Here is a 26,317-nt window from a genome sequence, read left to right as displayed (position 1 = left end):
GACTTACTCTATATCCATGAAAAGATACTTTTAAAGAACAGTGGGGCAGGGTGTGGTGGCTCATGCCTGTAATCCTAACACTTTGGGAGGCTGAGGCAGGTGGATCACCTGAAGTCAGGAGTTTGAGACAAGCCTGGCCAAAATGGTGAAACCCCATCTCTACTAAAAATGCAAAAATTAGTTGGGCGTGCTGGCAGGCACCTATAATCCCAGCTACTAGGGAAGCTGAGGCAGGAGAATCACTTGAACCCCAGGGGGGCAGTGAGCCAAGATTGCACCACTTCACTCCAGTCTGGGTGAAAGAGTAAAACTCCCTCTCCCCATCCCCCACAAAAAACAATGGCATAGGAAAATAGTCACAAAACAATGTTAAGCAATAAAAATGAAAACCAAACTGTATACATATTGCATAATCCTGATTTTGTTTTGAAATATATTTAGCATTTCTTAGTAAACATGCATACACAGAAAACTATAAGGAAATATATCAAAGTACTATTGACAGTGGTTGTCTCTAAATAGTAGAATTGGAGTTCATTTTTATTTTATTGTTTATACTCACTGCCTTTGTGTTTTTTAATTTTCTACACTTTATGAATATAATCATGGAACTAATATAAAGTTTAAGTAAATTTCACTGATGTAAATTTTCTGTGTTTTTTTTTTTCCAGTGAATAAGAAAGCATAATAGCAATGGATTGGGGAAAGAAATGTCTTATCTCTCAGAGTACTATTATAACAATGATTGCCTCTTCTTTTTCTTTTTTTGAGAAGGAATTTTACAAGCCTGATAGAGTTAAGGTCTTTAGTGCATTATCTCTTGAAATCCTCACAGCAAATATTCATGGAAAGTGCTACCAGAACAGTCAGTTGTAAAGGTCAGGAAACTTGAGGTTTAAAGAAGTTAAGTGACATGTTCACAGTCCTTCAGTTAATAAGGGACAGAGCAGGACTTGAACACAAGCCACTCTCTATCTACAGCTCAATCCATCATCAACTCCAAGATGCTTTCCTGGCCTTCAGTCTTAGTGTGACCTGCACTTTGGTTTGCCAGCGAGAGTTACTGTTTCCACCTGTTGTCATGACATAACGTTCCTTTTACATAGTCATCTGATTCACTCCCCCAACCACACCAAGAACCCCCTCCTCTTCTGTCCTCTGCCAGCACCCTGGCATATGGCTGCCATTGGACTCTTTACAGTTTTGAAATCATCTGTGTACCTGTCTGCCTCTCAAGGAGAGCATGAGTTCTCACAGGAAAGGGATCATGCAACCCAAATCATTACATATTTCTTGAACCCAGATTCTGTCATGAAGTACACACTCCATAGAATGTGAAATGCCAGTTCCCAACTCTCACCCAACCAAAGGAAAGAAACAAGAAATTCCTATAATGGGCAACAATTGAGTAGCTTTGATAAGTTTGAGTGATAAGTTTTCCACTTAGTGAATGGGCCAAAATAAACTAAAATCGCCTTTTTACTGTCAATTTATAAGTCATATTAACTCTGAATAAAGGTATGCGATTAAAACTAACAATAATAATTAAGAAAGTCAGAAAATCTCTACTTCCATTCATTTGCCTCTTCTTCTCAAGTTTTAAGTGACAGTTGGTCCTAACCCTTCTATTTTCTCTCTTTGCTTTCTCCTTAGGCCATCTCCACTTCTGTGCACCATCTATATGCTGCCGATATCCCAGATCTTCACCTCCTTTGAGCTTTAAATCCACATTTATTTGTCTTCTGGACATCCTCATTTGGACATCACAGGCACCTCAATTGCAAAACAAGCATCTCCCCAAACTTACCCTGCTTTAGCAGTCTTATTAATATAAATGGGACCACCTGCTGGCACATGATAGAAACTAGGAAATCAATCTTGATCCCCCAACCCCCTCACCCAACTCACATTAAGTCATGCCAAGTCTATCTCCTAAAAGAATCTCAGTTATATCTTCTTCCATCCACAATGTTTGCCTCTACCTTAGTCCAAATCACTGTTATCTCTTTTCTGGAATGTTGGGAAAGCTAACCTGTCTCTCCCCACTTTCCCCTGCTTCCTCCAACTCATTCCTCTTACACAATAAAAGTGATCTCTAAATACACATAGATCTGGTCCTGTCACCTCCTTTATTACAATGCTTCAATGCTTCTTATTGTACTTTTTCTAGACTGCAAGGACCTGCAAGGCCCTGCAGGATTGGTGCCTGACTCCTTCTCTGGGCTTCCTCTTAGCCCTCTTCCCTGTTACACAATGCTGCAGACATTGGTGGGAGATAATTCTCATAGCTTGTCCAACAGCTCTGGCACAGCAGAACACAAATAAGGGTGAGCTGCTACTATTATTCTTACCATGATCACGCTGTCTACTTGCTGAGCCATCTAGCCATTTGTTTGTCAGACCATTTGTTCATTTTATGTGTTCCTCCTATGTGCACAGCTCTTTCCTCAATAAGACCACTTGCAAATTCTGTTTCCTTTTTGTCACTCAGAGGAGAGTCTCCTAACCAGCCCAAATTTGCACCCTACTCTAGACTAGATTGAGACTGCCTAGATAGATCTCTTGGGGGACTCCGATCTTTTCCTTTGCAGCACTTTTCAAAATTATACTTAAAATGTACTTGGGTTTTGAACTAGACCACTGAATGGAAAAAAAAAAAAAAAAAAAGGACATGGTACCTAATCTCAAGTCAGCTCCTAAGGTGCAATGAATGCAAATAGAGTGTCCCTTCTCAAAGGACAAATCATATCAAACACGGCTAACAGTTAAAATAGAAAAGAATGGCTGGGTGCAGTGGTTCATGCCTGTAATCCCAACACTTTGGGAGGCTGAGGCAGGTGGATCACCTGAGGTCAGGAGTTCAAGACCATCCTGGCCAAAATGGTGAAACCCTGTCTCTACTAAAAATACAAAAATTAGCCTAGCGTGGTGGCGCATGCCTGTAGTCCCAGCTACTCAAGAGGCTGAGACAGGAGAACTGCTTGAATCCGGGACATGGAGGTTGCAGAGAGCTGAGATTGCGCCACTGCATTCCAGCCTGGGTGACAGAGCAAGACTCCATCTCAAAAAAGGAAAGAAAGAAAGAAGAAAAGAAAGAAAGAAAGAAAGAAAGAAAGAAAGAAAGAAAGAAAGAAAGAAAGAAAGAAAGAAGGAAGGAAGGAAGGAAGGAAGGAAGCAAGGAAGGAAGGAAGGAAGGAAGGAAGGAAGGAAGGAAGGAAAGAAAGAAAGAAAGAAAGAAAGAAAGAAAGAAAGAAAGAAAGAAAGAAAGAGAGAAAGAAAGAAAGGGAAAAGAAGGCATGGTGAATATATTTTAGATAGTTCACGCTTAGAGTAACCTGAAAAGGCATACAATTCTGTGATACAGTCTAGCGCTGTGCAGGAATACAACAGAGGCCCAAGGCTTAAAAGTGGTGAGGCTTGAGTAAGTCCCTATACTAGGAATCATTTTGGCCTAATAGGAAGGAATTTAAAAAAAGCTTTTCTGAGAAATTGCAAAGGCATGCTGCCAGAGCGAATATGCTTGCATTCCAATTGAGGACAATTGTCAACGAGTTTCCATGGGGTGGGGAAATGCCACATTCATGGCAGCCTTTGCATCTTTCCACTGTGTCCAAGACAATAGAGGCTTTAGCGGAGTTTAGAAGACAGAATGGCTTGTTTTGTTAAACGCAATATTTAAGGACTATGTTTGTGTAGTAAAATCATAACAGAATGGCCTAGATAATGAATAAACTCATATTAGAGAGTCCACTTCAATGACAATGGGAGCCTAGAAGGGAAACAACTCTGCCTGAGGCAATAACATGTTAAATCCAATTATAAGGAACTTATAACTGAACTGTCGGGGAGTAGACAGCCGGATATACCACAGTGGACTTGCAGGTGACTTAGCCTGAAATGCACCACATTAGTATGAATTGGCTTGTATAGTATCTAGCCTTGATGTTTTCATTATATGCAACAACAGTGCCACATCTAATATTCAATGAGGGCTTTTCAAATGATTCAATATATAGTTAATAAGGCAGTTGTCCTTTCTAGAATTTCAACTATTTTATGGTTAAGTAGGCAGTTGAACCATGGCATCCCTTTTATACCTTTAACTATTTTGATCTTCTTGTGTATGTATCAAATACATTTGTGCTCAGTAGAAGTTAAAGAATACTATCTTGTTTTGTGGGTTAGGGTTAGATGATTTTACATTTTTTTTTTTCTTTTAAGAAAACAACAACTTACTCTGGCACTGACTGGTCCACCTGCATGTCCAGAGGAATCAGGTTCTTCAAAATACATGGTATAAAACCTGGGTCTAGGGGTAAAATTGAAACAGAAATATATTATCAATTTGCTATAAACATACAGGCTGGATTGGGGGATTTTGTAGATCTTGGGCTTGCTAGCCATTGCCTTTTCTTTCTCTCTAACCTCCTCCTCCTTGTTCAGACCCAGTAGTTCTACTTGGCTCCAGCAAGGATAGGTTTCCTAACGGGAAATAAATAAGACCTTCCCAGATACAAGCAGTGGTACGCCCCTATTGTGAAACTCTGTTTTGTTCTTGCAGTTAAGACCACTCTTGGTGTGTCCCAGTCCTTTCTGTTTCCTGGTTTCTGACTTTTTGCTGATTCTTGGTTCTGTTATACCAAGTTCTTTCTTCTGGTGTCTGGTTTCTGATGCACTGTTTACCTGGAGCTCCTGATTAGCCTTCCCTCACTCCAATCTGTGGGTATGGGCTTGATGGAGCACCTTGTGCTCTTGGAGTCTATCCTTATAACTGAGTGTCAGGCCTGCTCCCAGCTCTGCTCCATTCCATATCTGGCTCTGGTTCTGTGATATTTGCCTCTGATCTCTGGTGCTGGCTCTATCTCTGTTGTTCAATAATGTCAACCACATTTTCGAAAACAAAAAGTTACTAGCTCCCAGGAATAATTTCTTTTTTTATTTTTGAGAGAGATATCACTGTGTCACCCAGGCTGGAGGGCAGTGGCATGATCATACTCACTGCAGCCTCAAACTTCTGGGCTCAAGTGATCATTCCACCTCAGCCTCCCAAGTAGTTAGGACTACAACTGCGTACCACCATGCCCAGCTAATTCTTTACATTTTTTTAGAGACAGTATCTCACTGTGTTGTCCAGGTTGGTCCGGGACTCCTGGGCTCAAGTGATCCTCCTGCCTCAACCTCCCAAAGTGCTGAGATTACACGAGTGAGACCCCCTGCCCAGCCAGGAATAATTCATGAAAAGTGTCCATTATAAGGCAATGCCACGTCGTTTCGAAAATAGCCAAAAATTGTAATTTAAAGTAAAAAAAAAAAAACTTCATTTTTTACCCATATATATGCCACTATGCCAGCACTTTTCTGACACTAGACATTACCTTTCAGCTTTGGGCAGGTCCAGCCATTTTAACAGTGTAGAAATCCTCTCTTCAAATGGGACACTTCTGAAAAAATAGGGTAGAAATAATTCTTTAAAATGAATCAAATCAAGAATAACTCCATTACATTCCTATTCAGAAAGTTTAATATCTTCAGCTACCCATTTTGTGTTCCTATATAATCACAATACTGGAAGGTATTCAGTATTATTCAAAGGGATTTCTGTTTATAGATACACTTGCGGCACTATAAAAGAAATGTAGATTGTTTTATTTCACCCCACCCTTCTCTCTTTCAGTTTCTCCTAACTAAAATAAAAGACAATTGATTATGATCCATTCATTCAATTTTTAAAAATGTATGCATATGCATATATTGAACATTTATTGCTGGATACTATTTGTTCATTCAAAACAGAATGTATCAGTGAGGAAACCAAAGATTACATTCTAATGCAGGAAGACAAGTACCAAACAATAGACCTAATATAAAAATAAATTATATAGCGTATTAAAAGGTGATAAATGTTGTGGACCAAAAAAAAAAAAAAACTAGAGCAGAGTAACTGAGATGAAGGTGGTTTGAAATTTTAAATCTTAAGTATAACTGGGGTAAGACAATATTGAGAAGGTAATTTTTCAACAGAGCTGGAAGGCAGGGAAAGAGTAGGCATTCGGATCCATGGAGCAAATCATCTCAGGGAGGGTGAACAGCCAGTGCAATGTCCTGCAGCAGAAGCAAGTCTAGCATGTTGAAGTCCACCAACGAGTTCAGAGTGAGCACCCGAGGGAGTAGCAGAAGGGGAGGTCTGAGAGGTAAGGGGACACCAGAGGTCATGCCACACAGGGCCTTGTAAGCTTTTACTCTGAGTGACACAGGGGGCCATTGAAGTTTTTGGTGCAAAATAATGCCATAATTGGACTTGCATTTTATTTTATTTAATTTTATTTTATTCATTTGAGACGGAGTCGCGCTCTGTCGCCCAGGCTGGACTACACTGCAGGAGCCCCTGATCTCAGCTCACTGCAACCTCCACCTCCTGGGTTCAAGCTATTCTCCCACCTCAGCCTCCAGAGTAGCCAAGATTAGAGGTAATGCGCCACCATGCCCAGCTAATTTTTGTATTTTTTCTTCTGGTAGAGACAGGGTTTCACCATGTTGACCAGGCTGGTCTTGAACTCCTGACCTCAGGTGATCAGCCCATCTCAGCCTCCCAAACTGCTGGGATTACAGGCATGAGCCACCGCACCTGGCTGGACTTGAATTTTAAAGGAATCCCTCTGGTGGGTGGGATGAGACTAGATTATAAAGGATAAGAAGCAGAGATGAGTAAAGAGGCAACTGCAGTTAATACAGGCAAGAGATGACAGCTCGAACCAGAGTGGTAATGCTAGAGGTAATAAAAAGTTCTCAGGCTACATAGATTTTTAATTACAGCCAAAAGCATTTACTGAGAGACTGCTTGAGTGACATAAAGGAAAGGAATCAATGGTGATTCCCAAGATTTTTGGCTTAAACAACTGGATTAATAGAATTGCCACCAAGATTAAGACAGAAAACATCTTGATCATTTCTGCCTAGCTGGGAGAATATCTGAAAGTGCTTCACTACCCGTTGTAAGGCATGTATATGGAAGGAAAGGAGCCATTTATAGCCACTTCTGATCCGGGCCAAAAGTAGGTAGCGGCTTTTAAACCTTGATACATTGCTGTCAGCCACATCTGTAAGAAAATTTAGGATAAGCGAAAGTCAGTAATTACTTTGGGTAGAAATGGTGTACCTTACTAGAAACTAAACAAGATTAATAGTTGCAACATGTATTAAAATTGAAATTTTAATCTTTGTAGTAATTAAAAGATATAATTATCTAAGAATCTGCCTCAAAAATCAAAAACGTAGCAATCAAACTGGTAAAATTGGATGGTTCCTCTCTCCCTTTAAAAGAATTACAACCTGTAATCCCAGCACTTTGGGAGGCCGAGGCAGGAGGATCACGAGGTCAGGAGATAGAGATCATCCCGGCCAACATGGTGAAACCCCATCTCTACTAAAAATACAAAAAAATTAGCTGGGCGTGGTGGTGCGTGCCTGTAGTCCCAGCTACTCGGGAGGCTGAGGCAGAAGTGCTTGAACCTGAGAAGCAGAGGTTACAGTAAGCCGAGATCACACCACTGCACTCCAGCCTGGCGACAGAGCAAGACTCCATCTCAAAAAAAAAGAAAAAAAAAAAGACTTACAAAACAAAATGAGGAAAAACATTAACAGATAATCTTTCTGAGTAACTTCCAGATGGATACATTTATAACCCAATATCCAAGTTTAAACATACCTATTTGAGTTAACAACCATAAATGTTTTAAAAATTCAAGTTACAAATAGTGGTAAAACACCTTTGCACCCTCAGCCCTTAGAAACTAGATGGGTGACATAGAACTTGCTCCACTGAGTGAGAAGAGTGTCCTCCTGTCACACTGAGAAATGGAGGTTACTTCAGTTGCGACGTGTAGAATGCTACATACTGGTTGCCCATGCCACCAGGCTGGATTATTTTGTTCCTTTGAAGAAAGTGAAAAATTCTTGTTGAGATTTACATCATACATATTATTGTCAATGATGCCATGTGACTCTGGATACAAGCCCTAAAATGATAATTTCAAAAAAGATGTAAGATAAAATATTAGTAAAATAGAAATTTAAATTAAAATAGCACACGATCTATTACTCATACCTAAGAAAGGTACTATATACCTTTCAATGTAAAACACCTGGACCTGAACTTACATATCAGGAGATATTGTCATCCCTTGGCTTTCATAGGGCATTAGTTCCATGACCTCCCTCAGGTACCAAAATCAGAAGATGTTTAAGTCCCTGCTAGTAAATGGCTTGGGATTTGCATATAACCTATGCATACCCTCCTATATATTTTAATCATCTCTAGATTACTTATAATAGCTAATGCAATATACATGCTATGTCAATCATTGTTGTATTGTTTAGGGAATAGTGACAAAAAAAAGTCTGTACATGTTCAGTACAGACGCAATTTTTTTCCAAATATTTTCTTTCTTTCTTTCTTTCTGTCTGTCTGTCTGTCTGTCTTTTCTTTCTCTCTTTCTTCCACTTTTATTTTAGGTTTGGGGGTACATGTGAAGGTTTGTTACCTAGGTAAACATGTGTCATAGGGGTTTGTTGTACATATTATTTCATCACCCAGGTATTAAGCCAGCACTCAATAGTTATACTTTCTGCTCCTCTCCCTCCTCCCACCCTCCTGCCTCAAGCAGACCCCAGTGTCTGTTGTTTCCCCTTTGCGTTAATAAGTTCCTATCATTTAGCTCCCACTTATAAGTGAGAATGTGTGGTATATAGTTTGCTAAGGATGATAGTCTCCAGCTCCATTTATGTTCCCACAAAAAACATGAGCTTGCTTTTTTATGGCTGCATAATATTCCATGGTGTATAGGTACCACTTTCTCTATCTAGTCTGTCATTGATGGGCATTTAGGTTGATTCCACCCAAATATTTTCAATCCACAGTTAGTTGAATCCACGGATTCAGAACCCACACATATGGAGGGCCAAGTGTGTATATATATATATTTTTTCTAGTTCTATTATGGTTTACAGCAGCAAATAAGTGACATTAGGCTGATAGCTTGTGCTGATGGTGTTAATATAACTTTTGTGTGCTTAATAACTGTTTAATTAACTGTTTGTTAAAGTTTCCCATATTAGAATAATGGTTAGCCACTGGTTATATTATCAATAATAGCAAGGAATTTACTAGATAGAAGCTTTCTGTATATCAAATATCCTGGCTAAATTGAATTAAAGGGTGCTACCAGCATTTTAAAGGCAGCCTGCCAAGTCTCTATCCATCTTCCCTGCCATCCACCCACCTATCCATCCAATCATTTATTTAATCCAATCCCACATATTTATTTAATCATTCCACACATTTTCATTAAATGCCTATAGATTTTAGGGTCATTATTTTAGAACATTTTTATGTATATGAATATATATGCATATATATGTATAAAAATATATAAATAGTAAATTAATTGCATTTGTGCATAATCCCTATTTTATGTATACATATATGTATATATGGTATATATTTATGTATATATAGTCAATTATTATTATTCGTAGTAGTTATATTCTATAAAGTTGTCATGAACACTAAATTAATGATTACTGAACCATTGCTCCTAGGAAAAATAGAGAGTTAGGTTCCTGAGAGCCTCTGATTACGACATTTTTGTCTTCTGATCAACACATAACCTTCTTTTATGAGTGTTTTTGTTTAAAGTCACATTATTTATGTATATTGTTGGTTCACTATCACTCATACCTCAGCAAAGTTTACCTAACACACATATTTCCTCTGTAAGGCAATTCATAGCCTTCTTGCTCTTAGGAACACCAGAAACCACATCAGCACTATGCAAGGGGACAATTTTAACCAGTGAAATCACCCCCAAAAAAGCATGAGAATATAAAAAGTATGGCATTCAATAGACAGTGAGATTGTGAAAATGGTACTTGTTTATAGTATGACAGCTAAAACAAGAAAGCAGAATGTCTCCTGGTTAGACCTTAGCTAGGAATATAAGCATTGGGCAACTCAACTTTTTGTGCTTCTTTGTGATGGCTGCAAATGACCACAAATGCACTATACTTATTGATTTGGGGGTTACAAATAAATTTTAGTGAGTAAGCAAACCCACAAATACAGAATCTGCAAGTAATGAGAATACATACATACATTTGTGTGGGGGTTAAAATGTAAATGTCATAGTTACTGTTCCATAGTAATAAAAGATTAAAACTCAAAGTAATGAAGACACAAATATCCTTTGAGGCAGCCGATGCCTTAAAATGTGTTATAAATCTATCTATCTTAAATAATTTAATTTTTATTTGAGCTCATTTTAATCATTCTACCTACATCTTTTTATACACTTTTCACACATTCTACCTACATCTTTTTTATATCACTTGCTTTTATTGCTTTATCTAAAGAGATGTAGACAGTGTGAATTCATTTATGAAAAAGAAGTTCTATCAAGTTAATTGTAATGAAAAGACTAGGAAAGAACAAAATTTCCCACATCAAAGTAGTTGTCCCTATATATAGCCTACTGTTCCCAGCAGACCCTCAGATAAACAAAGGGCAATCGAAAGATCAGAGGAAAATGGTATTTCTCACATCAAAGGGTCTGTTTTTGGCTCGACACAGGTGAATTAACCTAATGCTGGACACTTATTCATAGTTCATTCCTCACAGCCCTGGACTGGCCTCATATTGAGCCATTCCTTCACAGCCTGAATTCAGCCATGAACTATCCCCCCATGTGCTTCAGAAGGGTAAGTCACAGAACTCGGTCAGTTCCTGCCCAAACATGTCTGTTTATGTGGTCAGTTCTGGTCTTTGGCCTGTCTTACCACTGGGTCAAGCACTTACCGTGACAATGGTGTAATGATTTGGGAAGGTTTTGGTAGGATACATAGCTCTCATGTATTTTGAATGAATTCCACATGTTTCTGCAACAGAATATGGTGAGAAATTAGGAAGTTGTTTCTTCTTCAGTTTTTTGGATAACTAAAAATCTGAACATGAAAGTCTCTCAGAAAAATAAAAAACAAACTAAAAAGTGGATTAAAGATGGAAAGAGGTTGAAATTCTGGTCTCTAAGCTTCCTCCATTCCAGGGAATGTCAGTCTTTTAGGAGAGGAGTGAGCTAAATCAAGGTGTATAGATTTTTTTCTGGAAGAGCCAGTGATACACATGTTGGGCTTTGCAAAGCTATATGGTCTTTGTTGAAACACCTCCACTCTGCCATTGAGGCCCCAAAGCATCCATAGACAATAAATAAACAAATGAATATGGTCATGTTCCAATAAAACTTTCTTTATGGACATTGAAATTTGCATTTCAGGTAATTTTTACGTGTCATAAAATATTCTTACTTTCTTCCAACCATTTAAAAATGTAAAACAGACTAGGCCCAGAGGCTCACACCTGTAATCTCAGCACTTTGGGAGGCTGAGACGGCAGATCACTTGAGCTCAAGAGTTTGAGGCCAACCTGAGCAACACAATGAAACCCCATTTCTGTATAAAAATTAAAAATTAGCTGGGCATGGTGGCATGCACCTGTGTAGTCCTAGCTACTCGGGAGGCTGAGGTGGGAGGATTGTTTGAGCTCAGGAGATGGAGACGGCAGTGAGCTGTCATCGCACCACTGCACTTCAGCCTGGGTGACAGAATGAAACCCTGTTTCAAATAAATAAATAAATAAATAAATAATTTTTAAAATAAGTAAAACAATTCTCAGTATATATGGCAGGCCATACACAAACGAGTAGAGTGAACCAGTTTTGGCCTATGGGCCACAGCCTGTTGACCCCTGAGCTAAATGTACTCTATATTATACACTGCCAGTTTGTTTGCTTTATATAGCATTGGCATCTAGCTGATAGTTCTTACATGTAAAGTATCTAATATAACAAAAGTCAACACTACTGTCTAGACAAATGAAAAAGGATTTCACTTGTGTAACTGCATAAGCCCATGTCATGTAGTACTGTTTACAAATTAAGCTAACTTTACTGCTTCTTACTTTTAGTACAGTTTCCATTAGACCAGGGAAGTTTCCTGTGATCTGTGTTTCACAAAGTATGACAGCAATTTAGCTTCATTGTTCTGTTGTTTTCAATCTGTGCAATAACCCTGTTTAAAGAGGTCAGAACCACTAGGGCACATTGCTATTTCCTCTGCAGCAGTGAAGTACAAGAAATTTTCCACAGCAAAATTGTGTTGCCTCTACTTCTAAAATAAAGCTTCACCGTTATCAATTCTCTTTAAGTCAAAACAAAACATGAAATTAATTGTCATCCAAAAAGTCACAGGCTTTGCTGCTGAACACAATGAGTGTTTTCTCAAATAGACATGGGGTTGGTCTCCTTCCCAGCCTCTGATTCAGGAATTTCCTCCTTCAGAAACTTCTAGGGCCCCATATCAAGTCCACTACATAGGATTCTCTGATGGGGATTGGAAGGTAGGAGAAGGAAAGGGAGTTCAAAAAAAATCTACTTTTCCTTCTTTCTTTCTTTTTTTTTTTTTTTTTTTTTTTTGAGATGGAGTCTCGCTCTGTCACCCAGGCTAGAGTGCAGTGGCGTGATCTCGGCTCACTGCAACTTCTGCCTCCTGAGTTCAGCCTCCCGAGTAGCTGGGACTACAGGTGCCTGCCACCACGCCCAGGTAATTTTTGTATTTTTTAGTAGAGATGGAGTTTTGTTATGTTAGCCAGGCTTGTCTCGATCTCCTTGCCTCAAGTGATCCACCTGCCTCACCCTCCCAAAGTGCTGGGATTATAGATGTAAGCCCCTGTGCCTGGCTAAAAATTTACATTCTTAACAAGCAGCCCAGGTCATCCTAATGTATTTAAGTTTGAGAACTGCTCCAGGACTTAATTTATAAAACATAAGATTAAAATAACCTTTATTTTTCTTATTTAATCAATACCACCAATAAGTAAATCTTGATCTCAATTAAGGAAAGACATTTAATATTGTTAAGAAGTCATATAACAAGAAAATAAAATAAGATCTAGTCCACTTACACAATTAAAATAATTTAAGTGGGAAAAAATTCATACAATGAACAGATACATAAAGTCAGTTTCTGCTTTAATATCCTTGAAACGGGTGGCAGACTCAAATTCTTAAATGGGTAAAGCTAGAGGATAAAATAAAATGCAAATTAAGCTACCGGTATTGTAAAAGCATGGCACCGTCCTAGTTATATGTCATAAACAAGACACATCTGCTGACTATAGACCCAAGCTACCGTTTTGTATTACCTGCCCTTGAACCACAGCTACTGAAGAAAGTCTACAGAAAGCACAGTCTTCTACCATGGTTTCTTCCAAATATGAATAATTTAAGTTATACTTGAACAGACTACTGGAAAGACACGCAATAAACCAATGAGCAGTTGCTTTTGCAAAGGAAAAGTAGGAAGACCAGGAAAGATGTTTTGTTCATTTATTTTTACTTATACCCTCGAATATTGCCTTAAAATGTTTACGTGTGTATTTTACTTCTAAAAAAACAATTAAAAAAATAAAGTACTAAACAAAATAATCTGAAAATATAAATGAGATAAGCCTATGCAACTAGGTTTATAGTAACTAGGAACTATAAGAAGCAGCAAAGGTCTAAACAGGTGAGTAGGTAAAGCAACCAGAGAATGTACAGATCAAAACTGCAATGTAGGCCGGGCACGGTGCTCACGTCTGTAATCCCAGGATTTTGGGAGGCTGAGGCGGACGGATCTCCTGAGGTCAGGAGTTCAAGACCAGCCTGGCCAACATGGTGAAACCCTGGCTCTAATAAAAATACAAAAATTAGCCCAGTGCAGTGGCGCGTGCCTGTAATCCCAGATCCTCAGGGGGGGGCGAGACAGGAGAATCACTGGAACCCGAGAAGCGGAGGTTACAGTGAGCTGAGATCGTGCCACTGTGCTCCAGCCTCGGCGACAGAGCAAGACTCCATCTCAAAAAAAAAAAAAAAAAAAAAAAACGCAGAGCGAGACTCCGACTCAAAAAAAAACTACAATGTAGTCCTTATGAAATTCTTATAAGACTGGCATAATGAAATATTATTAAGATATCTGTACAAATGGAAAACATAGCAAACTGTTTACCAGTATTCACAGGCTGAAAATAGGTACTTTCATTTTATATGTAACTTAGTAGAATAACCTTGTAGAAAGATTAGCCATAATGTTGGCCTGTATCATTTCTAGCACTCAAAAAAAATAAAGAATAATAAGCTCTGCAGGGGCTTCAGTCTTCCCAGAGTTGCAAGTATGCATTCAATCCCTTGGCACATAAAGAAGAAGGGTCAAAAGAGAGCAAAGAGGAGTGATGTTACCAAGATAACAGAATAGGAAATCTTGGACGACTCTTCCCACAGCAGACACAATCATTCAATAGCCACACATAAATCAATTCCCTTTGTGAGAAACCCAGAAACTACTTGAGAGGCTCCTGCTTACCAGGCAAGTATAACACCAGTTACATCGAAACCAGTAGGAAAAGCAGAACTGTTTCTTTGACATAATACCCATTCCCAGAACGATGCTATATGATCAGGAGAGAACTCTCAACTTTTAGTTTCTCCCCAAGGGGGAAAAAATTGGACCACACATCTAACACTCCAATTTTTCCAGGTGCTATCTGAGAAATTGGCTTCTAACTCACTTGAGTTAGAAGAGATGAGACCCAACATCTATTAGTCCCCTGTGTGCTACAAAGAACAAAGAGGAGATTCTAACGAGCACACAGGCACTCACCACAGCTTCTGCTCTTGGCTCAGCACAGAGAAATCAGGCAATAACCCCAACTCCCAGCTTCTCCCAGGGGAGGAAGAGTTGCACTAAGTGTCCAATGCCCCAACTTTACCAGGGACTGCCCAAAGGACTGGCTTTTTCTGTCTTGTCTGTATTGGAGCGCTAATGGAACCTAGCATACTCTAGTCACCTGGGGGCCAGTGAGAAAAAAACACACCGGTTTGATGTAGCATATTAGTCACCATAGTCCCTCTCCCTGGCACAGCACAGAGAAAAAAAGCAAAATAAAGAAGAAAAAAAAAGCCCCACGACCAAAACAAAACAAAATCCAGACCCCAACTTTTCTCTGGGGAGAGAAAGAATTGGACAAGACATCTAATGATCCAAATTCTCTGGTGACTGCCCAAGGAGCTGGCTTCCTTCCAAGATAAGTTTCACTCATCTTGGAACACCAATGGGACCTAGCATACTCTAGACACTTGGGGCCCCTAACAACAAAGAAACAAGGCTGGACTAGCATGAAGGTTTAAGGGGCCTCCAGAATCGCTGATCAGGCCAACTGGCGAGGGTTTCTCCTATACGAGGCCGGTCCATGAAAACTGAGAAAGGTGACTGTTTTGTCCAACGTGCAGATGTCAACACAGAGAGTAAAGGAAAATGAGTAAATGGGGAAATATGTTCAAAGCAAAGGAACAAGATAAATCTTCAGGAATTGACCTGAATGAAGCAGAGATACAATTTTCCTAACAGACATTTCAAAACAACTGTCATAAAGATGCTCGTTGAGGTGATGAGAACAATGCATGAATAAAGTGAGAATTTCAACAAAGAGAGGCAAACTCAGGCCTTTAAAAATTATTCAGGCAAAGGAGCAAAAAGAAAAAAGAATGGAAAGAAGTGATGAAAGATTAAGAGAACTGTGGGACACCAACATGTGGATTAATATATGCATGATGGGGTTTTCCGGAGAAGAAAAAGAGAAAGAACCAGAAAGTTTATAGAAAGAAATAATGGCTAAAAACTCCCAAATCTAGGGAGGAAAAATGGGCAACCAGATCCAGGAAGCTTGAAGGATTCTAAATAAGATGAACCTAAAGAAATCCACACTAAGACATATTATAATCAAATGTCAAAAGTCAAAGACAATGAATTTTCAAAGCAGCAAAATAAAAGCAACTCACAATATACAAGAGAAGCCCTATAAAACTATCAGCAGGTTTTTTTTTTAAAGCAGAACCCTTACAGAACATTAAACCCAACACAACATGTTTTTCTCAAGTATGCATGGAACATTCTCCAGGATAGATCACATATTAGATCACAGAACAAGTCTTAACATATTTAAAAAATTGGGATCATACCAAGTATTTTCTCCAACTACAATGGAATAACACTAGAAATCTATATTACAGGGAAAACTGAAAAATTTACAAATAATGTAGAAATTATGTAACACACTTTTGAACAACCAATGGGTCAAAGAAGAAATCAAAGGAGAAATTAGAAAATATCTTGAAACAAAATGAACGAACATGAAAATGGAATGCAGCAAAAGCAGCTCTAAGATGGAAGTTATAGTAATAAATGCCTACATTAAGAAAGAAGAACAATTTCAAATAAACAATTTAATTTTGCACCTTAAGGAACAGAAAAAGGAACAAACTAAATCCAAGTTTAGCAGAAAAAAGAAAAGATGCAAGAAGAAATGAAATAGAGAATGGAGAAACAATAGAATAAATCAATGAAACTAAGAGTTGGTTCTTCGAAAAGATAAACAAAATTGACATACTTTTAACTAGACCAAGAAAAAGAGAGAAAACTCAAATAAATAAAATCAGAAAGAGGAGACATTACAATTGATACTGCAGATATAAAAGGTTCTTAAGAGAATACTATGAATAATTATATGCCAACAAACTGAATAACCTACTAGAAATGGATAAATTCATAGAAACATACAATGTACCAAGACTGAATCTTAAATAAATAGAAAGTCCGAATAAATCTATAAACAGTAAGGAGATTGAATCAATAATTAAAATCCTCCCAAGAAAAAGACCAGGACCAGATGGCTTCACTGACAATTTCTTTACCAAAAATTTGAAGAACTAATGCCAATTCTTCTCAAACTCTTCCAAAAAACTGAAGACCAAGAGAATGCTTTCAAATGAATAAGGCTAGCATTACCCTAATATAAAAGCTACACAGATATCACAATAAAATATAATTTCAGGTTAATATTCCTGATGAAAATAGATGCAAAAATATTCAACAAAATACTAGCAAACCAAATTCAACAACACAATGAAAAGATTATACACCATGATCATGTGGGATTTATCCCTGGGGTGCAAGGATGGTTCAACACATGAAAATCAATTAATGTGATATATAGCATTAACAGAATGAGGGATAAAAATTACATGATCATTTCAATAGAAGCAGAAAGAGCATTTGATAAAATTCAACACCCTTTCATGATAAAAGCTCTCAACAAACTAGGAATACAGTCAGTCACGCATTGCTTAAAGACAGGGATACATTCCTAGAAATGTGTTGTTAGACAATTCCATCATTGTGCAAACATAATATGGTGTACTTAAGCAAACCTAGATGGTAAAGCCTACTGTGCACCTAGGCTATATAGTAAAGTCTATTGTACAAATCTGTACAGCATGTTATCCTATTCAATACTGTAAGCAATTGTAACACAGTGGTAATTGTATATTTATCCCTATCTATCTAAATATAGAAAATGTACAGTGAAAATATGATATAATACAGACCACTTATCATGATTGCAAGCCTGGAAGTTGCTCTGAGTAAGTCAGTGAGTGAGTGGTGAGTGAATGTGAAAATCTAGGACACTACTGTAAACTACTATAGACTTGATAAACACTGTACACTTAGGATACACTAAACTTACAAAAATGTATTTTTTTCAATAATCAATTAACCTTAGCTTACTGTAACTTTTCTACTTTAATAACTTTTAATTTTTTTAACTCTTTGACTCTCTTGTAATAACACTGAGTTTAAAACACAAACACATTGCACAGTTGTAAAAAATATTTTCTTTATATCTTTATTCTATAAGCTTTTGTTTTTTAATTTTTTGTTTTTACTTTTTAAATGTTTCTGTCAAAAACTAAGATACAAACTCACACATTAGCCCACACCTACATGGGGTCAAGATCATCAACATCACTGTCTTCTACCTCCACCTCTTGCCCTACTGAAAGGTCTTCAGGGGCAATAATATGCATAGAGCTGTCATCTTCTATGATAACAGTACCTTCTTCTGAAATACCTCCTGAAAAACCTGCCTGAGGCTGTTTTATAGTTAACATTTTTAAATAAGTAGTAGTACACTCTAAAATAATGTACAAAGTATAAGTATAGTATAAGCTTGGCACAGTGGCCAAGCACTTTGGAAGGCACTTTGGAAGGCCAAGGTGGGAGGATCGCCTGAGCCCAGGAGTTTGAGCCAGCCTGGGCAACATAGCAAGACCCCATCTCTTTTGAAAAGAGTATAGTATAGTAAATACATAAACCAGTAACAGTCATTTATTATCATTATCAAGTATGATGTAATGTACATAAATATGTGTACTATTTTATGACTGGCAGTGCAGTAGGTTTGTCTTCACCAGCATCACCACAAAAATATGAATAATGCATTGCACTATGACATTATAATTTCTATGACATCACTAGGTGATAGGATTTTTTTTTTTTTTTGAGACAAGAACTCGCTCTGTTACCCAGGATGGAGTGCAGTGGTGTGATCATAGCTTACTGCAACCTTGAACTCCTAGGCTCAAGGGATCCTTCTGCCTCAGTCTCTTGAGTAGCTGGGACTACTGGCACACCCCATTGTGCTTAGCTACTTTTTTTTTTTTTTTTTTTTGGTAGAGACAGGGTTTCACTTTGTTGCTCAGGCTGATCTTGAATTCCTTGGCTCAAGCAATCCTCCTTCCTTGGCCTTCTGAAGTGCTAGGATTGCAGATATAAGCAACCATGCCCAGCTGGTGATGGGAATTTCTCAACTCCATTATAATGTATGGGACCGCCATTATATATGCAGTCTGTTGTTGATTGAAATGTTGTTATGTGGCACATAGCTATAGAAAAAAAATACTTCAACATAATAAAGATTATATGAAAAGTCTACAGCTAACATCCTATTCAATGGTGAAAATTTTTCCACCTAAGATCAGTAACAAAGCAAGACTGTCCACTCTTCTAGCCTGAGCAATTAGGCAAGAAAAAAAAAAAAGGCAACCACATAGGAAAGAAAGAAGTAAACCTGTCCCTATTTTCAGAAGACATGATACTATCTACTGAAGCTCTAAATATACTGAAAGCTCTAAATAAATTTATTTAGAACTAATAAATGCAGTAAAATTGCAGGATACAAAATCAACATACAAAAATCAGTTGCATTTCTATGTACTAATAATTAACTATTCAATCTCATTTCTAAACATTGAAAATAATGAAATTCTTAGAAATAAATTTAACTAAGAAAGTGAAAGACTTGTATATGAAAACTATAAAATATTGGGAAAAGAAGTTAAGGAAGACGTATAAACAAATGGAAAGACACCTCATGTTCATGGACTGGAAGACTTAATATTGTTAAAATGTTCCTATTACCCAAAACAATCTATAGATTCAATGTAATCTTTATCAAAACCCCAATGACATTTATTACAGAAATAGAAAAAAAATTAAATTCATAACACCCCAGATAACCACGACAATCTTGAAAAAGAACAAAGCTGAAGACATCAAAGCTCCTGATTTCAAAATATATTAAAAATCTTCAGTAATTAAAACAGCATGTTACTGGCATAAAAACAGATGTATAGACCAATGAAAAAGAATAGGGAGCCCAGGCTGGGCACAGTGGCTCACACCTGTAATCCCAGCACTTTGAGAGGCCAAGGCAAGCTTGAGCTCAGTAGTTCAAGACCAGCCTGGACAACATGGCAAAATGCCATCTGTACAAAAATACAAAAATTAGCCAGTCATGGTGGCATGCAGTGCCTGTAGTCTCAACTACTTAGGAGGCTGAGGGGATTGCTTAAGCCTGGGAGGCAGAGGTGGCAGTGAGCTGAGATCACACCATCACACTCTAGCCTGGGTGACAGAGTGAGACCCTATCTCAGAAAAAAAAAAAGAATAGAGATCTCAGAAATAAATCAATAAATCCAAGCCTATATGGTCAACCGATCTTCAAAAAGGGTGCCAAGAAGAATACACAATGGGGAAATAATAGTTGCTCCAACAAATGATGTCAGAAAGTGGATATCCATATGCAGAAAAATGAACTTGAACTCTGATCTTATACCATACACAAAAATCAACTCAAAGTATATTAAAGATTTCAAAGTAAGACCTGAAACTATAAATCTTCTAGAAGGAAACATACGGGAAAATCTGCATGACATTGGTCTTGGCAATGATTTCATGAACATGATGCCAAAAGCCCAGGCAATAAAAGCAAAAATGGACATGTAGGACTATATCAAACCAAAAAGTTTCTGCACAGAAAAGGAAACAATCAATAAAATGAAAAGGCAACATATGAAATGGGGGAAAACACTTTCAAACCATGTATCTGATAGGAAGTTAATTTCGAAAATATATAAGGAACTTCTACAACTTGATAGCAAAAAATACAATAGTCTCATTAAAAAATGAGCTAATGACCTAAATAGATATTTCTTCAAAGAAGAAAGATATTGTGCATCTCTAAAGACATACAAATATCCAATAGGTGTATGAAAGATGCTCAATGTCACTAATCATCAGAAAAATGCATATCAAACCAAAATGAGGCTGGGCACAGTGGCTCACACCTGTAATCAGCACTTTGGGAGGCTGAGATGGGAGGATCACTTGAGCCCAGGAGTTTGAGGCCAGCCTGGGCAACATAGCAAGACCTCATCTCTAACATAATAACAATAATTAAAAATAAAAATTTAAAAATGAGATAGCACGTCACATCTGTTAGGATATCTAGTATCAAAAAAACCCCAAAAACAGGTGTTGATGAAGATATGCAGAAATTGGAACTCTTGTACACTGTTGGTAGAAAGGCAAAACGGCATAGCTGCTATGGAAAATGGCATGGAGGTTTCTCAAAAACGTAAAAATAAAAGTATATGATCCAGCAATTCCACTTTTGAGTATCCAAAAGGGTTGAAATCAGGATCTCAAAGAGATATTAGCACTCCCATGTTCACTGAAGCACTACTCATAAGAGCCAAGATGTGGTAACAATCTATTTCTCTTTAAAAGATAAATAGATTTTTAAGGTGGCATATACATACAATGGAATATTATTTGGCCTTAATAAAAGAGGAAAATCTTGCAACATGTGATAACATGGATGAAACTTGAAGACATACTAAGTGAAATAAGCTAGTCACAGACACGCTAATACTGTATGATTCCACTTATATGAGGTTATCTAAAATAGTTAAAATCATAGAAGCAAAGAATAGGATGGTGGATTCCAGGGGCTGGGTAAGGGGGAAATGTGGAATCGTTAATCAATGGATATGAAGTTTCAGTTTTATAAAATAAGTAAATTCTAGGGATCTGCTGTACAACATTATGCCTATAGATAATAATACTGCATTGTACACTGAAAAATCTGTTAAGAGGATAGATCTCATGTTATGCATTCTTAACAAAATTTAAAAAGCAGACAGCAAATGACATCTGCTATGGCCAGTATAAGAGCTCTGCTGTTCATGAATGCCAACCTTGCAAACTCTAATCTCTAAAACTCTGCATATGTCCCCTGCTGGATCTCTGCTGTCTACCTGCTACTTCTAGTCTTATTTGATCCACAGATTCCCATCTAACTTTTCAGGAAGGCTGTCTTCTAAATAGGCCAAATCACCTCTATCCCACTTGACAGTTTCCTGATCTTGGCCCTGGCCCTTCTTTGTCTGCTGCCACCTGCACTAAGACAAGACAATGTTCTTGCCTCATTAGAGTGTGATTCAGAGAGCCACTTCCTCGTCCACTTAACAGTCACTAATATGACTCACTGCTCTGTGATATTGTTTAGGCTCAGTTTACATGACCATGGTGGCCCAACTCAGGCAGTTTGATGAAACCCTAGAGATGGGGCCCTGGGCTCCCTTAATAGCAAGGCCTGCTGTCACATACCTCACCTCAAGACTAACATAATCCTAATCCTATTTAACCACATCTCTCCTTTTTCAATTTTCCCTCAAAACAGCCTCAGGTGGTCCTGAGAATATGTACCCCTACCTACCACATCTATTCTTAATCAGGCCTCTGAGAAACTAACAGCCCTATTTTGCCTAGGTAGGCCTAGCTGATCATAGCTTCACACATTTGGGGATTGAGATGTTGTCTATATGACTAAAAAATATTTTAAATGTTTTAAAATATTTTAAACATCAAAAGCAGAAAGCTCTTAGTGGCTGAATATTTCATTGATGTCATTTCTAATTCTCAATGGAATGAGCAAATCGAGGAATTTCACTTTAGAAAAGGTTCAGTTCACCCTGGCTAGTCAAATTCCCTTTTGACACCAGATTTGATATCCAGTTTATCAAGACAAATTTAGATAAGAAGATAGAAACTGAGAAGTGTTAGTTAACTTTCTAGGACAAAATAACTCAGCAGAAAAATGACAGGTCCTGGATTTGGAAAACAGTCTCTTTGCTAAAGATCTGCCTCAGGGAATGAGGGAGAAGCTGAAGAAACAATGCACCTTGAGTTGCAGGAAGTAGTGATCTATCTTCCTACAACCATGGCATTTGGGGCTGGAATTAACAGTAGAAATCATCAGATCTAGTCATTTCATTTTACAAATGAGGAAACTGAGGCCCAGAAAAGTCAGTCAACTTACCCAGAGTCAAATAGCTATTTTTAATAACTTGAAGAAAAAGAAAAACAATAAACCAGTAAAAATGACATAAAATTTGAGAACTTTAGGGATATAAAACAGCCTCGGAGGAGGGAGAAGAAAGAGAGGAATTGCAGGGCAGTGAAGAGTGTGCGCCTTGGAGTTAGCTCTCTGATTCTAACTAACTATGCCACTTCTTAGCATTGTATCCTTGGGTACTCAACTTCTTTTAAAAAAAAATTATTATTAAATAGAGATGAGGTCTCACTATGTTGCCCAGGCTGGTCTCAAACTCCTGAGCTCAAGGGATGCTCTAGCCTCCACCTCCCAAAGTGCTAGGATTACAGGCATAAGCTACCACATCCAGCCTCAACTTCTCTTTATTACTACCTTTATTAAATTGTGTGAAGGCCAAGTGTCCTAACACAGAAGTACAACATTATAATAAAGTTGATAATAAAAGAATTATAACAATAACTTAAAACCACCCATTGTATGCCACATATCAAACAGCTATTTTTTGAATGCTACCTGTACATTCTCACAGTAATACTATCAGGTGGGAAGTCACCATTTCACAGATGAAGAGACTGGGTCACTAAAAGGTGAAGGAAAGTTGTCTGAGACCTCACAGCTAGCAAGTAGTAGAGTCAGGTTGTAGGCAGTTTGATTCCAGAACTGGAAATAGATCCTGGACTTGATATCGGCTGAAGTGGTGGGAGGTGCTGGATCTGTCTAAGCCCACCAGGCTCCTTCAGGATCCGGTTCTCGCTATATTCTCCTTGCTAAGGCCCAGAACCTGGGTCTGACAAACATCACTTTCAAGGCAGTACACATGAATAGATTTCCATAGGACAGAAGTTACATTCAAATATAAAGCAAATCAAAATAAACAAACAAAAGGCTGAACATCCCACCAAAATAAAGGTAGGAGAAGCCAGCAAGCGTGAAAATATACTTCCGAATGAAAGTAGAAACCATGTGGTAAAGTCAGAGAGGATCTAGGCTAAGACAAACCACCAGCGTTAAAAGTCAGAAAGAAAGTTGCATCCTCTAGAGATTGACTAACTAGGTGTCTTTATCATTTGCATGCCACTAGTTACAGAAGACTTACTCAGTTTATTGATATTTGGCATTAAAGTATCCCATGTGTATAAATATTCAGCTCTAAATCCATCCATAGAAAACAAGATAACTGGTGGCAGGTCAAACCTGAAAATGGAAAACAAAATTTGTCCATTGTTTTGGATAGCTACATTTACCTCAAAAGCATTGCAATCCTTTTTTAGACCTGTGTTTAAGGTAAAATAATTGGGTAACTTTTGGGCCATAGCCAGACACTGTCATTTTTTATTTTTTTAATTTCTTTTTTTTTTTTTTTGAGACACAGTTTTACTCTGTCACCCAAGCTGGACTGCAGTGGAGCAATCTCAGCTCACTGCCACCTCCACCTCCTGGGTTCAAGTGATTCTCATGCCTCAGCCTCAGAGTAGCTGGGATTACAGTCGTACACCACCACAACCGGATAAATTTTAGTAGAGACAGGGTTTTACCACGTTGGCCAGGCTGGTCTCCCACTCCTGACCTCAAGTGATCCGCCCGCCTTGGCCTCCAAAGTGCTGGGATTACAGGTGTGAGTCACCACGCCTGGCCTAAAATTTTACTTCTGTTATACACACACACATTTCACAGAAGCATAGTTTGATAAATTTTCACTAACTGAACTCCCTGTGTAGTCATCACCCAGATGAAGAAACAGAATATTATCAGGATGCTTGTGCTTCCTGTGGTCACTAAATTCTCCAAACCACACCCCACCAAGGATGATCAGTATCTTGATTTCCAACAGCATAGATTAGCTTTGTCTATTTTTGTACTTACATTTATATGCAAATAAAATCATACAGTGTGCATTTTGTTGAGTCTCAATTCTTTTACTCGACATTATGTTTGAGATTCCTCCATATTGTTGCAAGTAATTATGGATCATTCATTCCCATAGCTATCTAATATTCCAGTGAATGAATAAACCAGAACTTATTCTACTGTCCATAGGCACTTGAGTACTTTCCAATTTGGAAAGTTATTAGGTTTCCGACCTAAGACAGCCTGTGGTTTAACTCCATTTACATAAAATTCTAAAACAGGAATGTATGATGATAGAAATCAGAACAGTGATTGTCTTTGGGAAGTAAGCAATGGGAAGGGACATGAGCTATCTTTCTGGGATGGTGGAAATATTCTATATTGGTAAGTTACATAGCTTAGTGAATTTCCAAATTGCATCATACTATACACTTAAGATAGGACCATTTCATACCATAGTTCATCCTATAGTATGAACTATAGGATACCTCAATTTAAAAATAAAAATGGAAAACTGGGACCGTTTGAACTGCAGTGTACAGAAAATTCATGAAGAAATTAAAGTGGCCTACTGCAATTCGCATGAGAAAATACTTCTTTTTTTCATAAAGTCATTAACATAACTCTGATTAAAAACTTTATATTCATAAATATGCCATTAAAATAACTTGGAAGAGATTAAAGACAGGGTCACTTGTCTCTGGGATCAAGAGTGGAATCCAAACATCCAATGCACCCCTTTTTTAATGGCCAGCTTGCCTGTCCAAGCTAACTAGAGAGTGCATTTTACATTCTGCTGACATGAACATTCTTGTAGCTAAAACACCCTTAATTATTTCCTAAAGATAAATTCATAAAGATCACATTTCCTGGTCTTACAACAAACTTTTTTTTTTTTTTTTGAGACGGAGTCTTGCTTTGTTGCCCAGGCTGGAGTGCAGTGGCCTGATCTCTGCTCACTGTAAGCTCCGCCTCCCAGGTTCACACCATTCTCCTGCGTCAACCTCCCGAGTAGCTGGGACTACAGGCACCTGCCACCACACCCGGCTAATTTTTTGTATTTTTAGTAGAGACGGGGTTTCACCGTGTTAGCCAGGATGGTCTCAATCTCCTGACTTCGTGATCTGCCTGCCTCAGCCTCCCAAAGTGCTGGGATTACAGGCGTGAGCCACCATGCCCGGCCTACGACAAACTTTCAAAGGAGACCAAAATATTGCCACAATTCTTTCCCAACAGTAGATATTAACTTATACAGTACTTTCATAAACAAGACAGGTAGCTAGGACTTTATATACACAAATCATGATGTATTGACTATTTCATGGAGTAAAAGTTGTATCTTTTTTCATTTTTATTTCTCCGATTGCTAAAAAACTTGAACATTGCATCCATATTATTTTTACTGCCTGTGATGAAGCTTGAGTAAGAGCTCACTACATGCCAAGAACTGTCATCTCAGATCTATTATTTCACCAGGATCAGGTAGTTTACCCAAGGTGTCCCCCGCCAGTAGGGGCAGAGCTAGGCTATTGGCTCACATCTGTCTGGTTTAAGAGTCTAAGCTCCTTACTATACTATGATCACTAGCAAAATAGTAAGGCAAACAGGCAAAGAGAACACTAGCATAAATGTCTGGCAAGAGGATTTTATGTAATGTCTTCAGCCACTAAAATTTTTAGCAGCACTTATTATTCATAGTGAGCAGAATCATCATTGTCCATTTTCCATGCAGGGATGGAAGGTATAGGCAGGAATGACTTCAATGGAATAAAGAGAATGAGGGGATTGTAAGAAATGGTCAGTGTCCTT

The 26,317-nt window shown here is 38.1% G+C and overlaps 1 protein-coding gene across 4 annotated transcripts in view; it reads right to left on the bottom strand.

The window, feature by feature from the left end:
• Window positions 1–26,317, bottom strand: part of ENPP3 (ectonucleotide pyrophosphatase/phosphodiesterase 3) — a 110,109-nt gene that overhangs the window by 65,234 nt on the left and 18,558 nt on the right. For 3 of the 4 annotated variants that reach the window (NR_133007.2, NM_005021.5, XM_017010932.2), the window contains 6 exons: window positions 23,757–23,854; window positions 10,850–10,929; window positions 7,896–8,015; window positions 6,988–7,097; window positions 5,376–5,441; window positions 4,237–4,309 (listed from right to left, as the gene is read on the bottom strand). Coding sequence is in view for 3 of the 4 variants with exons in the window: in NM_005021.5 (NP_005012.2) it covers window positions 4,237–4,309; window positions 5,376–5,441; window positions 6,988–7,097; window positions 7,896–8,015; window positions 10,850–10,929; window positions 23,757–23,854 (547 nt within the window). In the remaining variant the exon portion in view is untranslated. Of the gene's footprint in view, window positions 1–4,236; window positions 4,310–5,375; window positions 5,442–6,987; window positions 7,098–7,766; window positions 7,853–7,895; window positions 8,016–10,849; window positions 10,930–23,756; window positions 23,855–26,317 lie in introns of those variants that run through there. The other variant, XM_011535897.2, reaches the window with a different exon arrangement.

Source organism: Homo sapiens, chromosome 6 (genome assembly GCF_000001405.40).
Source record: "Homo sapiens chromosome 6, GRCh38.p14 Primary Assembly".
NCBI lineage: Eukaryota > Metazoa > Chordata > Mammalia > Primates > Hominidae > Homo > Homo sapiens.
Note: the sequence above shows the minus strand (reverse complement) of the source record. Positions and strands in the feature narration are given on the sequence as shown.